The following is a 17,642-nucleotide window of genomic DNA, read 5'->3' on the forward strand; positions in this document are numbered from 1 at the left end:
CAAATGAGAAAGCTGAGGTCTAGAGACAATAAATAATCACTGAGGATGAAGATGTTTTAACTTCTGTGGCTTTACAATATAGTTTACTATCTGGATGGGCTAGTCTCCTCATCTTTTCTAGAATTTTCCTGGCAGTTACATCACACAGTGAGGGCTGTTACTAAGCCTGTGGGAGGGCTGGAGAGGCTGCCCTTCTATGTCCTCTTAATATCTAAGTTGCTGTAGACCTCACTGTTAAAATACTATACCCTTACTCCTAGGAATGCAGTTCCAGAGGAGTAAAGAACTTTTATGCCCAAATCAAAAGGCTCCATAAAGATGCGTGATGGCAACAGAATGTAAGGTCTCTGTGGAAGCCTGGGGTGCACAGCTTTGAGGGGCTCACTGGGCTGGGCCAGGCCTGGACGTTCAACGGCCATCCGGCTTGCTGAGTACTTGTTTTTCTTCACTAACACACGAACTCCTGAGAAGCAAGAAAAACATAGGCTGAAGCCCAACTAGTCACTGCTACATGCTTTAAGAATATTCCCTCCCCCATGCAAAAGAGAACTGAAATTTGGAAGGTAGTAACTTATATTTATACTCTTTATTCATGAAAGAGGTTATTTGTTCATAAAAATAGTTGTCAGAGATGAATATATTTACATAAGAATATAGTTTAAAATCACAAGGATTTCAACTTTCTGGGTCATTCTGCTGACGGACAATTTGAAAAAAAATACTTCATTGTGCACACAAATGATCTTTGGTTTATTGCCATTTGCAGCTCTTACTTAAGTGGAGGAAGGAAATTTCCTCACCCCATTTCCTAGTGTTCCAAGCTCAATAGGTCTACCCCTTGCTCTACTTTTATCATTATGTCACATATTTCAAAGTTATGTAGTTCATCTTTGAATGCATGTTTTCCATTTTTCTTCTTATATTATGTTCATCCTGTTTCTTACTGTAATGCAAAGAAAAATGTATATTCAGGTTAAATTCATCTAACTTCTGGCAAGTGTAAGAGACTATGTGAGACTCATATTTTGTATCATTAAACCTGCAAAATTATGTGAGATATGCATTACTAGTCTCACGATGGGAAAATTGAGTCTCATAAAGAGGAACTATATCTCCAAGTCCAATAGCAAGTTCATGTTGGAGAAGGACATTTAGGTGGTTCTGAATGGGCTGTGTCTTACTTATCCCTCTGACCTCATCTCATACTACTTCTCTCTTTCCCCACTAAGCTGTAGGCATAATGGCTTTATTTCTCTTTATCAAATACTCCAAGCTCTTTCTCATCCTAAGAACTTTGCATTAACTCTCCCCTCTGCCCGATAATCTTTTCATGATGATCAACATATTGGTGGCCCCTTCCTTTCATTTTGATTTCACTGTAAATATCACCTCCTCCAATAATTCTTTCTAATCTAGTGCAGTCAGCCACACAGTGCCTTTCTCATACCAATGTACTTTAACTCTCAGCATAGCCCTAAGAAATATCTACTACTACATTTCCTGCCTATATTTAAAAATAAATCTCCTTTTATAAAAATACAAGCTCTACAAAGCACAAACATTCTCTTGTTTCTGTTTCCCTCAGCCCCTAGAACATCACCTAGATGGCACCCAGTAGAGGTTGGACAGGTGATTGGTGACTGTCTGTAACTTGCTGAGACCAAGGGGAGGGTTGGTACATGAGAAAAGTTTAAACCCTGGCTCTTGCCCTCAGGATTTGTAACCCAGCACCTGGTGTGTCTTCAAGCAGAAAAAGTCCTATACAATTAGATTGAGACTGTGGTGTAGATTTATCAGATGCTAAAAATAAGTATCCATATGTAAATTTTGAGGGGAGCAAATTTATTCCAGATATTTAAACTAATTTTATATTGATAACCTAAACTTCTTATAATATGTATCTTTAAAAATACCACATACCAAGGACTTACTGCAAAGTAAGTATGGAAGAATAATGTGCCCACATTTTGAAGCCTTTCTTGATATGGAAAAACATGATATAGCAAGATGTCCAGGAGAAGACTTAAAGGAGTTTGTGATAAAGAGTAAGATATAGAGACCAAGAGAACAGAGGCCAGAGATCTCAGGTGCTAGACTGTGGTCTCCTTGAAAGTAGAGATTGTACGGATATTTCTGAGTCGTCTCATTCCTTGTGATTGTACCTCTGGTTCTCACCTTATCATTACCCACAGAAGACAAAATACACATCTATTGAGTGATTGAGAGCCTATGGAATTTCAAATCCAAAGGATATGACATAGTTCTTACCTTCTAAGTAGTTTCCTGTATAAATGATATAAACAGCATCAATTCCAAACATAATGTATATTAGGCATATTAAGGCCTGGAACTCTCCAGGGTCAGTTGGAGCTTATTATGGGACAGATCTGAAGAGCCCCATTAGGGTTTTGCTTTCTGTAGCGTGAGTTGGTGGAATGGTTAAATCGAATTTGTGGGAGGCCGTTGTTTGGACCGAGCTGCTGCACTCAGCCCCAACAGACCAGACCAAACCAGAATAAAGTCATTCATGCCAGGTGTCATATCAAACTGAACTTTGAAACAGGCCTCTTTCCCCCAAAACAGTAGATTCACAGCAACTGATCAGAAGGCCCAGTCTTCCTGAGCTGGCATGATAAGGAGGTCCCTTTGTTGTATCTCTGTAAGGAAAGTCACTTGGAAAAAACCTATCCGCTTTGGTTGCCTATTTCTGCTTTCTTCAGTACTTTACGGCCTACAGAGCCCATCCCCTCTGCTCAGCTCATCAGACTGCCTGTGGATCCACAGCTGGAATGCTGCTCAATTCATGAATTGTGAATAAAAGACAGATTTTAAACTAAACTTGTTGAAATTGTGTTTTTTGAGAGTACTAAAATTGTATTTTCATAATCTTAACATGAATCCAAAGACTGGGGTGAAACTGGTTGTCATCCATCATCATATACTATCCTATACCTTATTTATCTGCATTTCAGGAAGAAATGTAAAATAAGAATAATATTTTTATTTTTCTATTTTTTACTAGTCTTATATAAAAGGATTTTGCTTCTGTTCTATTTGGATATAGTTGTTGGGTCTTCGGAGTTCTATGTTTTCTTACCATTCTTTTAAAATTATAAGTTTTTCTTGATTGTAACTTTTATAATCATGAAAAACAAATGCCTTTCGCATATTTGCCACCCAAAGAGAACAACTGTTTTGGTGTATTTCTTTTTATATTTGTTTTACATATGTAAAATCACTGCAAATATTGAATTTTAGGTACTGAAATCAGATAAACTGGTTCATAAATTTTCAGTTTATAACTAATGCCAAATGTTCCCAATAAGAGGAGATAACAATTTACTTAACTAGTTTGTCAACACTGAATATAGAATAGGTTTATATCTTCCCTTTTTTTCATATAAAGCTGTTTTATATTTTAGATTATTTTTAATCTGAGTATATGTTGTAAATTCAGATTTTTATTGCAGATGATTGCCTTATTGAACAGTGAGAAAGGGTGAGAAAATTTTAAGTTGCTTAAATAACTATTTCCAGACTGTTTTCAGAAGTTTGGGACATATATTGCCTCAGCAACGCATACATAAGATTTCTATTTCACATACACCCATCAGCATTAGATAACATGTTAGAAATAGAACTCTAATTTTGCCAGTGAAAAAATAGATTTCTTCATGAATTTATTTTAACATTTTCTTGTTTACATAATGAGGTAAAATATTTTCAATATACATAGTGGACCTTTCCTTCTTTGTTAATTGTTACTTGTTTTTTATAAATATCACCACTGCCATTTCTATAGTAATAATTCTATTTTTACTGTGAGGATGAAACAACTAAAGGCCCAGCCTCTTTCCAGAACTTTAACTCATTAAAATAGATAAGAGCACCTCACAGCAAAGACAGAAATGAACTATGCAATTTTACATTATCATCTCTGCTGTGCTTAGGCAAAATATTGCAAGAGTATTTTTTTTTAAAGAGGGAGAAAGGGTCCAGAGAGTTGCAATAATTTGTCCACGGTCAGACATCTAGTAAATACTACACTTAGAGTTTTTTTAACTGTAATTTCAAAATTTCCCACCGCATCTGAGGTTCTCACTGATGACATACAAACCTCTAAGAGAGACAATCTGGGGAGGATGGTGAGCTTTCATAATAATCATCGCAGTTTTTCTACCTACCAACATATGCATTTTCATAAAATCAATCATCCAGAGGTATGCGCCAGAGCAAAAAATATAGCCACAGGTGGCATTAGCTTTCACCTGTTAAGGGGCACCTTGGACTAACCAGCAGACATTTTCCAATTACCTGTACCATCTGAACTTAATGGGATTCTTAGAAGAGAAGCTCATGTATAAGGCTCCACTCTTCTTCAATCCCTTTATCTGTGTCCTAAGTGCAGAATGCCATCTCTTGCTGAGCTCTGCTTATGGAGCTGGCATTTGCTACACATGTTTCAAATGCACATGGTATTTGAAAAATGATCCTTCATCTGAACCAGCTTTGGAGAACTCATTCCACAGGCTGCGCACAAAGCTAGGGATATAACGTAGGCCTGGGAGGCACAGGAAAAGAGCAGATGGTTTTTGAGTATCTGATAAAAGCCAGCCAGCCAATGTGTGTTTTCAAATGCTGAGATGACTTTTGTTTTTGGTTTACATCACTTGGGCCTTCCCTCAGCAACCTATCATTAATCAAACAATTTGCCCTGCTTATAACTTCATGGGTATGAGTTGTAAACATTTGTGAAATTGTAATATTTGAAAGTTAACTATTGGCCAATTGAAGGCCTCTGGTGTTCATAGCATTATTATCAGATGAGAAATTTTCCACAGCTACTTATGAATATGATGAGCTGTTTGCATTCACATTTTCTGGATATCCTGATTTTGAAATGGAAATTATTATGAAAGAAATTGATTTCCAAGTTCATTGCTCTCAGAGCAGTGTAGATGATGCCCAAGTTCCATTAGAATGAGGCTATTTAATACATGAAACTCACAGAGAAGGGCATTAAGTTTCAAAAGAGCCACTTTGTCCTCAGTTTTCATTCTTGTTTGGTACTCTCGCTCCTGGCGCTATCTCAGAGTCTATATTGGATGGGAACTCATGTCTTGGATGACGCATTTTTATTGGTTTGTTGTTTTTTGGACATCTTTATTGAGTACAAAAGGGAGCCTGGGAAATGCCAATAAAGGGAAATTTGTTAGTTGTCTTCTTTCTTTTAAAACACATTTTTAATGTCTTTTAATCTCTTCCATCTTTCTTTCCTTTCCTCCTTCACTTCTTCCTTCTAATTCCACATATCACAGACATTCTTACAGGATGCAAAAACCTGATGATAGTATTGGTAATGACCTGGCCAACTGACAGCAGGCAACAATGTTCTTAACAAGCAGGGCCTGAGTGAGCAAAGAACTGTGAGGCTGAGTCCATCAGTACAGGGGCAGATCCAATCTTTATTTAAAAGTGGAGCATTTTCTTCATCATGAACTTTTTTTTGCATTTGATTCTTGTAAATATTGCATTAAATACTATGCATTTTGATTACCAAATTTACTGACACCTCTTAAATTCTGTGCTAGCAGCAAATGCCTCTCTTGTCTTACCCTACCATGTCTCTATTAAGGAGTATGATAAACCCCTGTAGAAACAGGAGTACAGTAGATAAAAGTTAGGACAATCTCTATACAGAAATTTAACTCATCTGCTAGAAGGTACTAGAGAAAAAGAAAAGAAAACGCAATTCTCCCCAAATTACCTTGGATCCTGGGAGAATAGTGGTGCCATCCAAGTCTCTAGCTAACGCTTTAGCCACGGTTACATTTGCATTCATCTGTTACTTTTGAACAGGTTCTATGCCCATACTACTTCTGTACTTTTAAATGATAAAATAATTTTTATTCTGAAGTAGCATATTCAAATTATTTTTCCTTAAGAGATTATTTTGAAATGTGGGGTTGATATTTTTATCAAAAATGACTATTATATATACACTGTCCCCTTAACTACAATTTTCCAGTGGCTCAAATAATTTTCAGAATCACATCTCGACTTTTAAAAATCACATTTGTTTAAAAATACCTGTGATGTATCTAAAGCCTTTTTCTTGTTAGCTGTGTGAAGTTTAAGGTGTGAATTGTATTATTCCTATATATTCTGCTTATTTATCAGAGACTTTTCACTGTATTTGTATAATTCTTCACAGTAGGTTTGATTGGTGGTATGATTCCCAGGCTGAGAGAGTTTAAATCCTTTTATTTCCAAGTACACATCACACCAAATGTAACACCATGTACCTGCTATCCCAATTACACACATCTGAAAGAAGGAGTTTCCCGAGGCATAAATCTCTCTATATTAGTAGTTCTTCTTATTTCAGAGAATAACTTTGAGTAATTACTGCTTACATTTCTCCAGTAAAGACAATACTCAGTTTATCGGAACAGCTTATTTCTCAGTCACGGAACCCCTTCAGTCCATAGTACTCTTTCATTTATTCTGCCCCTTACTGCTGAAGAACTCACAGGATGTGCAGTATAAATAAATATCCTCATGATTTCCAGTGCTAGGACTCAGAAAAACTGGAAGAAACAAAGAAAACTGCTAGATGGCTCTTTGTGGTTCTTTTCATGTAACAGTTGAAGGTATACTTTTTTTTTTTTTTTTTTTTGAGACGGAGTCTCGCTCTGTCGCCCAGGCTGGAGTGCAGTGGCGCAATCTCGGCTCACTGCAACCTCCACCTCCCGGGTTCACGCCATTCTCCTGCCTCAGCCTCCCGAGTAGCTGGGACTACAGGTGCCCGCCACCACGCCCGGCTAATTTTTTGTATTTTTTGTAGAGACAGGGTTTCACCGTGTTAGCCAGGATGGTCTCGATCTCCTGACCTTGTGATCCGCCCGCCTCAGCCTCCCAAAGTGCTGGGATTACAGGCTTGAGCCGCTGCGCCCGGCCCAAGGTATTATTTTTCTTTAGGGTCTATGATTTGTTGTTAGTTTCCCTACTGTTCCAAATGTAAATTAATTTAAGTAAGTCCCATTTGGAAATTCGCAGAGAAGTGAGTCCGAATTGCCTTTCTCCCAGGGAGGAGTAAACATCTGTCCTTGATCAAGCTCATAATTAGCTCAGCTAAGGGAGAAGATGAAATAAGGTGAGGGCGATAAGTTGGAAACAGAACTGGGGTGTGGAGCAAAGGAAGAGAAAAGAGTAAGGACTAAGCAAAAATCCACAATAAGGGCTTGAGGTTTATATATCCCTGGTCCCTTGGTCCCCTTCCCGATGGCCCAGCCAAGAACACTCCTAGAGTCTGACTCCATGCATCATGCCACACTGGCAGCTGCAGTTTGAGCCCAGATCACAAATGCATAATGCATGTCGCCTCTTCATGGAGAAACATCTGCATTTGCCTGGTTCTTCCCTTGGCAGAGGGCACATTCATCATCCCTGGGGAAGTGTGTTTGTGGGAGCAGCTGTGAGAGGACACTGCGCAGAAGGACCGAGGGGCCTGTTGGTACATTTGCCAGCTTGATCTGCTTTGTGGTAATAAACTCCAGGAATGTCTAAACCTGGACTTGTCCAAAAGAAGAAGGTTGTTTTTGTTGGAATGTCTGGGTTTTATTCATGTTCCCCAAGATTCCCATTTCAGAATCTTTAAATTTTATGGGTATTTTTAAAGCTATAAAACAGTGAGTTCTTAAATATGCTTCTAGGACATAGAACCCCCCAAAAGTCTAGATTTGGTTCACCAAGAAAGTCCACGCCAGATACTTTGACCGTCATCTGAACCACTCCCCTCCCCGCCCACCACAATTCAACATTTTCCACTCATAACATCATGACATTATAACTGTGCTCTCTGGCAGTTGTGTCATTGGTGATTAGTAAAACACTGAAACAATGACATCATGTCTATAAAATAATCACAAAAAATGCCGAATATTAGTGACTAAGTCTCAGAATGGAATTTGAGCAACGCCTGTAGTGACTAGGTTCACTTTATATATTCTGATCTTGCAGAATTCGAGTAAGTTTACCTTCTACCTCCTTCTCTTTCCCTAATTTTGCCCTTCCCCCATTTCTCCACTTTCTCAGCTCCTTCCTTTCCCAAGGAGTTTGCAATAAGAAGACCTGTTAAGTTTCAAAATCACCCAATTTACCCTCTGGTCTTTATTGGAAGCTTTTCTTCATTTCCAACTAGAAGCACAGATCTTCTGTAGATACAGGTACTGTTTGAGCTTCCAGACACTTCACAGTTCACAAGCAGTGGTCGAGGTATGGAAATTTTAAAACACACACATTGTCCAGATGAACGCAAATAAAAACCTGTCTTGCCTACTTGGATCATGGAAACTAGGAATACAGATCACAAAAGTTAGTGGTATGTAAGAACTGAAATTCAGTCCAACACCTTCACTGACTGTCTTGAACATTTTTAAAAACACAGTAGGCTTTTAAGCTTAAGCCAGAGTGAATTGTAAAGGAAATACCATCCATGTGGTAAAACATCAAAAATGCCCTGCACCATTTGCTACATCACTGGCTTCTCTCAGCTCATTATTGTTGCTGGGTCTTCAATTAACCTCAAAGTTTGTATCCGTAGAAGAAGTGCATATACATAATTACAAATATTAAGAGCATGTTCTCCTTTTTCTGTGCTCCTGATAGTACTCTCTTACCATTAGTAATCACTTTTTTTTTTCTAATTTTATTTTAGCAGTGGTCTAGCATTTATGCTCTAGACGTATTTTTTGAAGTGTGACATGAAACCCAAGGGTTGCTCAAATATATTTTAAAGTCTATCTTGGAATCAGAGCAGGTAAGGAGATCTCCCACTTCTCTTTATTTCACAATAACTTGCTTGTTTGGATATTAATTTCCAGAAGACAGGAACCTTACTGATGTACCACCCTGTTCTTTGTGCAGAGTAGATGCTCAGTAAACATTTGTTGGAATGAATGGTGAATAAATGCTGTTCTGTATATTTTATTTTTAAAAATAAAGTTTGAAAATCACTATCATATTTTCATCTTTCACTTCTGTGATCCTTTACATGATTGCTAAAAGCATTTTGGCTGGCTGTGAGCTCACCTAACTCCCCATCAAGATTTCTGAATGTGAGGCACCAACACCTCAAGCAGCCTCATTACTACCCCACTGAAAGGGTTGATTCCTTGACTCTTGTGCTCGTTTTGCATCAGCGAGTCCTGCTACAAAGATCCTTGAACACGTGGTGATTTTAACGGGGCTAATAGATTTTAAGATTTCAAATTAAGCACCTAGAAAAGGACCCAAACTGGGCAGCCCTTTTAACAAGTCTTCGCTGTTCAGTGGCCCGTTTAGCATAGAAACTTTCTGTGAACTCTGTAGGTGACCTTTTCCCTTTCTTTGTTTCCACTTAATCAGATTGCATGCGACCTTTGGGAGCCTAAGGCTTCGATGTTGAGAAGAGTACATGAAAGGATTAAAAAAAAATAATACATTTTTTGGTACATTGCCTTTGGAGGCATATTAAAATCCTCTTGAATGCTGTTGTCTTTTTCTCATTGAAAATACCCAGCCTGTTTTCTATATAAACAGCCCTTTTCTTTTATCTTGGTGATATTGTTTTACAATCCAACCTTATGACTTAACTATTTTATTTGTCTCAAAATCATTTTTTTTAGCATGGCCCAATTATTAGAAACAATCTCACTCATGTGAAAAAGAATTGTTAGTGATCTTTCTTTCAACTAAGGAGAAAAACAAATATACAAACAGCACTGTTCCCCTGTAGGATTTGCGTTGGTTGGTCAGACATACTTTCTCTGGATTGTTACCTGAAATTGAAAGGGAACTATGGCGATCTGAGTATTCCTCCCATCTGTCATTTGCATGGGGACTCTTGCCTAGGCCACCAACTCAAAAAAGAAAAAATAAAGATTGCTGCATTTGGAGGCTAGAACAACGCTGCATTATTTTATATCTTAAAATGAAGGTGAATCAGGAAAAGGCATTAGAAGGACTATAAACAAAACATCAGGTGATGTATATTTGCGAAGTGGGTTTTGGCGAAATTACAGAGCAGATGATGTTTGCTTTTGTTGTCATTCGGGTCCTAAATCTCCCAGTTTGCTCCTGCCCTGCTTTTCGTTCACTCTCCCTGCCTTACTATCTCATTCTGTAGAGAGCCCTTCTCAAATCTCTGTCAATAGTAATGTACACTTGGAGTTGGGAAACCTTTTCTGTAAAGGCCAACATGGAATGCACTGCTATTAGGGATTTTTCTGTCTTCATTTTTGTTTGCAGTATTTTATTGTTAGAGACAACACCTTCCAAAATGCAGTGCCTCATTATGAATCCATTTCCTCTGCCCTCAGTTGCAGAGCCACAGACTTGAATGAATATAGGAGGAAAAGTACTGGTGCAAATAGAAGAATTTTGGTACTCTGGAGGCCTCCCCTGCCTCCCCTAGCCCAGATTTGCAACCCACAGCAAAGCGACAATCACAGTGCCTCTCTCACATTTGTGAACTATGGGGCTGACAGCCTACATTCTGGCAGCATGATTCCTCTGGTTTCTGGCAGGAAGGTATGTTAGCACCCTCTATATTTTAGTAGCTGAGAATTTCTCTTAGATTCTGGCACACCATTTGGTTGTTGGCCCTCATTTACAGTGAGAGATGTTGGAAATGAAATGTATATTTGCAGTGTGTCTTTCAAGCTGCTTTGCTGGGAAGTTGAGAGCACAGCTGCTAATCACACCTAACATGTATTCCTAGATCACATTTCCAGCTAATGTCATGCCTCTCTGTACTAGATGGCCCAGTCATGCAAATGGAGTAGAAGCTTTGGTGTTGCACCCACACGAATGTCAGATACTGTGGGTCATTACCTGTAGAGTTTACTGAGTACTTTTTCTAGATCTTGAGTGCCACGATATAGTAATTTTTCTGCAACCTTAAATGGAATAATGACAATATATTTTTTGATAAAAAATTAGCTTTGAGGCTTTAAGGTCTTGCTGCAGAGAGATCATTTATCACACTATTTGAAGAAATTTTAAAAACTAGATGTATTTGGAAAGCAGCTTTATCCATCGAATGCTATATGCTTGAATAAAAGCTACCGTAACCTGAGTTTTATAATTAGACAGCTGGAAACTCTACATAAATATTGGACATCCATGGCAGATTAAAAGGAAATGGGTCACTTGGAAGACTGGTAATGGAATCTTGGACCTAACTGAGCCAGGTTCTTTCACATAAGGGAACCTCAGTTCACCGTTCAGCTTAATTTAAAGATTACTGGCTAATTTGGTTTTAAAGGTACTAAAGGTGAGGAATAGAGGCATAAATTAAAGAGGCTTGTGAAAGATCACAAATTAGAGTCAGAGACTGAACTAGACCCTAAGTGAACTGGATTCCACTCTATCTGTCCTCCTTTTGAGCAAGGTCTCAATTTGAGTCATCCATTGCTAGTATAACCCTCTCAGGAAAGGCCTTTTGTTTCATAGATCTTTGTAAGTGTACTCAGAATCAAACACAGAACATCAGACACAATGATTGCTCAAACCATAATTTGTGAAGGAATTTAATTCTATCATGAGCATTTCCTGACCTCCAGCATCTCATACTCCTTTGTTTACTCATGTACCTGTGTCTAGGTAAGACCTTATGTCTCTGATTCATCCACAACAACTTTCTTCACAATAGAAACTGTCAAGGTCAACTATGTGTCACTTAGGTGTTTTAATCTTTGCACAGAAATGTTATTTTTTCTTGCCATTCTGGAAGAATTTCACAAGCATTTCAGAGACTGACTAAATGATTACAGAATTTGTGCATTTCTGCCAAATTGTGTTGAATAACAACAACAAAAATAAATAGCATTAGTCCTGAAGTCATGCAGGAGCAGGTTTAGACAGAGAACAAAGCATGGTATTTGTGAATTGGCCAACTAACATGCTTCACACAACACTAGCTGTATTGTCAGCAATAAAAATCTGAGAAAAGGTCTTGGCAAGTGTGCTGTACATTTCTTTGTTTTTGAGCTTTGATAATATGTTGGCTGTGATGTGATCTTTAATACACCAAGACATGTAAAATGCAGCTTGTTTTTAAAAGCCATTGCCAATAACTGACAGATATTTATTTCAATGGCAGCAGTGGTCTGAATGTCTCATGTCATTCTGTACTTGCTCACTTTTCCATGAATAAGTTATCATGTAAAGCGGACATGTTTGGACTTATTTGAACTCATTATATAACCCCAGGTTAGTGAGGGCTGTCTTGGAAGGCTCAGGGAGAATTGCTGTATCTCTAGTACATTTAACTCTGTTTCAGTTCTTGATTTTGCTCTTACTATATTGACGACCAAAGCACTTCAGTTTCGTGATAAAATATCCAACAGATCAGCATTCAAAAGTTTGTCCTGAGGCATTTTTGTGTAAGTGCAACCTATTATAATGGTTTCTTTGGTAGTAGAGTATTTTATGTATAATTTTGTTCATAGAATGAGAACCATAAAGATACCCAGTTTTATCATTACATGCAGGAATGAACTTATCAAAGCCAAAGTAACAGATGCTTATGCACCTTCGATAGAACTAATTCCTTAAGGAAAGTCCCCATAAAGAGTCGTAGAAGTTGCATTTTGATGTAACTTCTATGCATTTTAATGAAAAACCTCCTCGGAAAATTATAGGTTATAGTTATAGATAATTACCAATATCATAGATTTTTATTTCGTTAGCTCACATTTATCTTTAATAGTTAATTTACATTATTGCACTGAGGGACTGAGAGTTTCCTGGGGAAGAAAAGAGAGGGTAAAGTCATTTAGGAATATAGTGCATTATCTATGAGGAGCAAAGCAGTGGCAAAAGGTGGAATGAGCAGGTAGTAGTATTACGGTATTGAAAGAATACAAAGAGAGGGTCAATTCTTTGGTTCAGATTCTATTAATATTTCTTCAGAAGACAGGAGGCTCTAAACTAGTGTTTGAAAACTGGCAGCCATGTTTTCTTGAGCTAATAAAGTACTTTAAAAAGCTTTGAGTTTGAATGCTTTTAGGTGAATATGCTGTCTCTGGTACCAGAAACCCTAGTGTTTTATAGTCCAAGGCCCTGAAGGCTTTGGAGTTTAGGAACTCAAATTTACCATGCTTGATCTGTAGAGCACTATCATGCAAAGTGCTGTTGGAGTTTTAGACACTATGTGAATTCTATGTAAAAATATAATCTAAGCTCAGCAGAAAACTTACAAGCCAGAAGCAATTTGGGTCCTATCTTTAGCAGAAACCTTATTAGCCAGAAGGGATTGGGGTCCTATCTTAAACAGAATAACTGTCTGCCAACAATTTTGTATCCAGGAAAACTATGTTTCATAAATGAAAGAGAAATAAAGTAGTTTTCAGAAAACAAATGCCTGTGTTTACTAAAATGTAGGATAATTGTTGCTTTCCTCCTTCAAAGAAAGTCCCAGCATAGGCTGGGAAGAAAACCTAGGAAAAACTCTTCTGGACATTGGCCTAAGCAAAGAATGTATGATGAAGGCCCCAAAACGAAGTGCAACAGAAAGAAAAATGAATAAGTGTGACTTAATTAAACTAAAAAGCTTCAGATCAGCAAAAGAAATAATTATCAGGGTAAACAGACAACCCACAGAATGGAAGAAAATATTTGCAAACTCTGTACCCAACAATGGACTAATACTCAGAATCTATAAGAAACTGAAATAAATCAGCAAGAAAAAAATAATAACCATTGAAAAGTGGGAAAATGACATAAATAAACATTTTTCAAAAGAAGTTATACAAATTGGCCAACAAACATGAAGGAAAAGTCCAACACCACTTCATTAGGGAAATGCAAATTGAAACCACAATGAAAACGGCATGGAGATTTCTTAAAGAATTTACCATTCAATCCAGCAATCTCACTACTGGGTATCTAACCCAAAGAAAAAGATATCACTATCTGAAAAAGACATCTGCATGCATATTGTTTATTACAGTCCAATTGACAATTGCAAAGATATGGACCCAGCGTAAGTGTCTGTTGACCAAAGAGTGGATAAAGAAAATATTATATATACACCATGGAATACTGCTCAGCCATTAAAAAAAATGAGATAACATCCTTTCCTGCAACTTGGATGGTGCTGGAGGCCAATGTTCTAAGTGAAGTAACTCAGGAATGGAAAACCAAATACTGCATATTCTCACTTATAAGAGGGAGCTAAGCTATGGGTATGCAGAGGCATACAGAGTGGTATAATAGACCTTGGAGACTCAGAGTGGGGAGGATGGGAAGTGGATAAAGGATTAAAAAATGACATATTGGGTACAATGTACAGTACCCTGGTGAAGGGTGCACTAAAATCTCAGATTTCACCACTATATAATTTGTCCATATAACCAAAAACCACTTGTGCCCCAAACGCTATTAAAATTTTTTAAACATTTAAAAATAAAGTAAAATAAATGGGAAAAAAATATATCTAAGAAAAGTTATATTGATGTCCAAGAATTAATTCTAAGCACCTGGATGTCAATGAAAAGAATTAACAAATACATGGTTAAGTTTACCTTCAAGGTTGTAACCCTTTGACAAGAGGTCTCCCATACGCAAACTACATTTCCTTTTGTTCTCCTTGGACTCTTCAACAATGCCGTTCTTGTCTATTATCCTCCCTTCATCAATTTATCTTCCTTGTTCCAAAGATTTACTATAATATAAATGTATATGCTTTTTAAATGATAAAACATAAGTAAAATTTTAAATAAATTATATTTATTTTATTTTCTAAAATGTATTAAGTGATGGAATAACTTAATAACTATTGTTATTAATTATTTAGTAATTATTAATATTATTCCATCACTTAATACATTTTAGAAAATAAAAGAAAGTATTGCCCTGCAATTTAAGATTCCACATGCATATGCACATAAACATCCACATTTATATGTAAGCTGCATCAGGGCAGAGACTATGCATCTGAAATAAATCCACTGATTATTTCGATATTTTGTAATGTGTTACATGGATCATGTAATAAGCACTAACTTTAATGCAACAGATGTTCTTAAGAAAGCTGTCTATTGTATTCTCTAGTTTTTTCCTCATGCTTATTCTATAATCTACTTAGGGCTAGCTTATTTCCTCATCATCCTATCTATACAGCTCTACAAACATTAATAACCTGCACACTACTAAATCTAATGGTATATTTTTAAAAATCTTTTTGCTTAATCTCTTAGCAACATAACACTTGACCAACTCTCAAATCTTCAGAAATGTTTGTCTCTTGTCCTCTGTGACATTATAATTTGCTAATCTTCCGCCTCTCTGATCATTTCTAGTTTTTTCTTCACCATCTCATTCTGTTCTTCTGGAAGCTAAATGTTTGGAATTTATCTTGGTCCAGTCCTGGGTATTGTTTATTTCTTTATATGTACATATCTTTTGGACTTAAGCATGCACAATCTTGATTATCAAATTTGAATAGCCAGCCTTGGACATTCATTTGTTTGAGACCAATATCTCCAACTGTGTACTGAAGATTTCTTCTTGGATATCTCAAAGGCATCTCAAATTCAATATGTCAAAGAAAAGTGTGTTCAACCCCACACTTGAAACCAGTGCTGTTCACTGTTATCAGTAGGAAGACACTACCCTACATACACTATACATGGTACATGCCAATTCAAAGGTTTTTGGTATTTGATATGTATCTTTTCTTATAAATTCAGCTGGAAAGTTTTGGAATTGCACCACTATCTATGTTGTTGAGCACTGAAGAAATATAGAAGCCATTTATGCATTTATTTAACAAATATTTATTGAATACCTTCTGTCAACCATGAATTGTTCTGTTTAGAGGGTTACAGTAATGAACAACATACATCAAAGTGTTTCCTTCATAGAGCTTATACTCTATGGACATTTTGCTTCCTACACAATTATATCCAATCCATCATCCTAAATGTTTGTGATTTTACCCGTGGAATTACTCTTTTTTTTCCTTTGAGACAAATTCTCACTCTATTACCCGGACTGGAATGCATTGACAGAATCGTGGCTCACTTGCAGCCTTTATCTCCTGGGCTCAAGCAAATTTGATAAATTTGTAGAGAATTTTTATTTATGGTGTAAGATAGGGATTAAACTTTATTTTTTTGCAAGTGGATATTCAGTTATCTCAGCACCATTTATGGCAAAGACTCTTATTTTTCCCAATAAATTATCCCAGAAACATTGTCAAAAATAAAATGACCATAAATATTTAAGATTGATATGTCTTTTCATCCTTTAATGGCAATCTACTTGTATCTTTGGATCTGAAGTCTCTTGTAGACAGCATACAGTTTGATCACTTTTTAATTCATTCTTCCAATCTCTGCCTTTTTATTGGAGAGTTCAGTACATTCACATTTAATGTAAATGGTGAAAATCAGCAGTTTACTTCTGTCATTTTGCTATTTGTTTTCTATATGTCTCTTGCCTTTTTTATTCCTCAGTTCTTCCATGATTGGTTTCTTTTATGTTAAATAGATATATTCTAGTGTGCCATTTGATTCCCTTCTTGTTTTATTTATTATCTGTTTTTAGTTATTTTCTTAATAATAACATCTTAACATATACTAATCTAGTTCAAATTAACACCAAATTAGGTTCCATATTATCCTGAAACTTTGGTTTTATATAGCTCTGATACCACTCCCTTCTTATCCTGTTATTGTTACAAATGACATCTTTATGAATTGTATGTCCATCAACATAGATTTGTAATTATTGTTTAACACAATTGTGTCTTAAATAATATAGCAAAATGATAAGGGATAAACAAAAGAATGCATTAATATTGACTTCTACATTTACCTATATAGTTACCTTTACTGGTATTTTTAATTTCTTCATGTGGATTAGAGTTACTACTTTCCTTCTGTTTACACCAGAAAAACTCTCATTGGAATTTCTTCTAGGGAAGGTCTGCTAGCCCTTGAAGAAAACTCTACAATAATCTCTCACGCAGTTTTTGTTTACCTGGGAATGCATTAATTTCTCCTTGATTTTTGAAGGATAGTTTTGCTGGATATAGAATTCTGGATCAACATAATTTATCTTTAATTTTTGAAACATAGTTTTGCTGGATATAGAATTCTTGATTGACAATTTTTTTACTGATTCAGCACTTTAAATACCTAATTACACCACCTTCTGACCTTTATGGTTTCTGATGAGAAATTAGCTGTCAGTCTTATTGAGAGTCTTGTATACATACATGATAGGTCACTTCTCTTTTACTACTTTTGAGATTCTCTATTTGTCTTTGGAATTCTACAGTTTGGTTATATGTGTTGATGTTAATATCTTTTATTTATACTACTTTGAGTTCAGTGAGGTTCTTGGATGTGTACATTAATGTGTTTTACCCAATTTTGGAACTTTTCAGCCATGCTTTTATCAAACATTCTTTGTTTTCTTCGCTTTTCTTCTTCTGAGACTCTCATTGTGTATATGTTGGTATGTTTGAAGGTGATTCACAAGCCTCTGAGACTGTTAATTTATCTTCATACATTGTTTTTCTTTTCTTCAGACTGATCATCTCAATTTATCTAACTCAAGTTTGCTGATTCTTTCTTCTGCCTGCTGAA

General features: G+C 36.5%; 1 annotated feature.

Annotated features, from left to right (window-relative positions):
- Nucleotides 7,315–8,514: an enhancer, noted in NCBI's record as "BRD4-independent group 4 enhancer chr13:22976932-22978131 (GRCh37/hg19 assembly coordinates)". NCBI's record gives its function as "activates an origin of replication core promoter dependent on BRD2, P300/CBP, MED14 and CDK7 cofactors, and independent of BRD4, by STARR-seq in HCT116 cells {active_cell/tissue: HCT116}" and the evidence as "EXISTENCE:reporter gene assay evidence [ECO:0000049][PMID:35650434]".

This window comes from Homo sapiens, chromosome 13 (assembly GCF_000001405.40).
Source record: "Homo sapiens chromosome 13, GRCh38.p14 Primary Assembly".
Taxonomy (NCBI): Eukaryota; Metazoa; Chordata; class Mammalia; order Primates; family Hominidae; genus Homo; species Homo sapiens.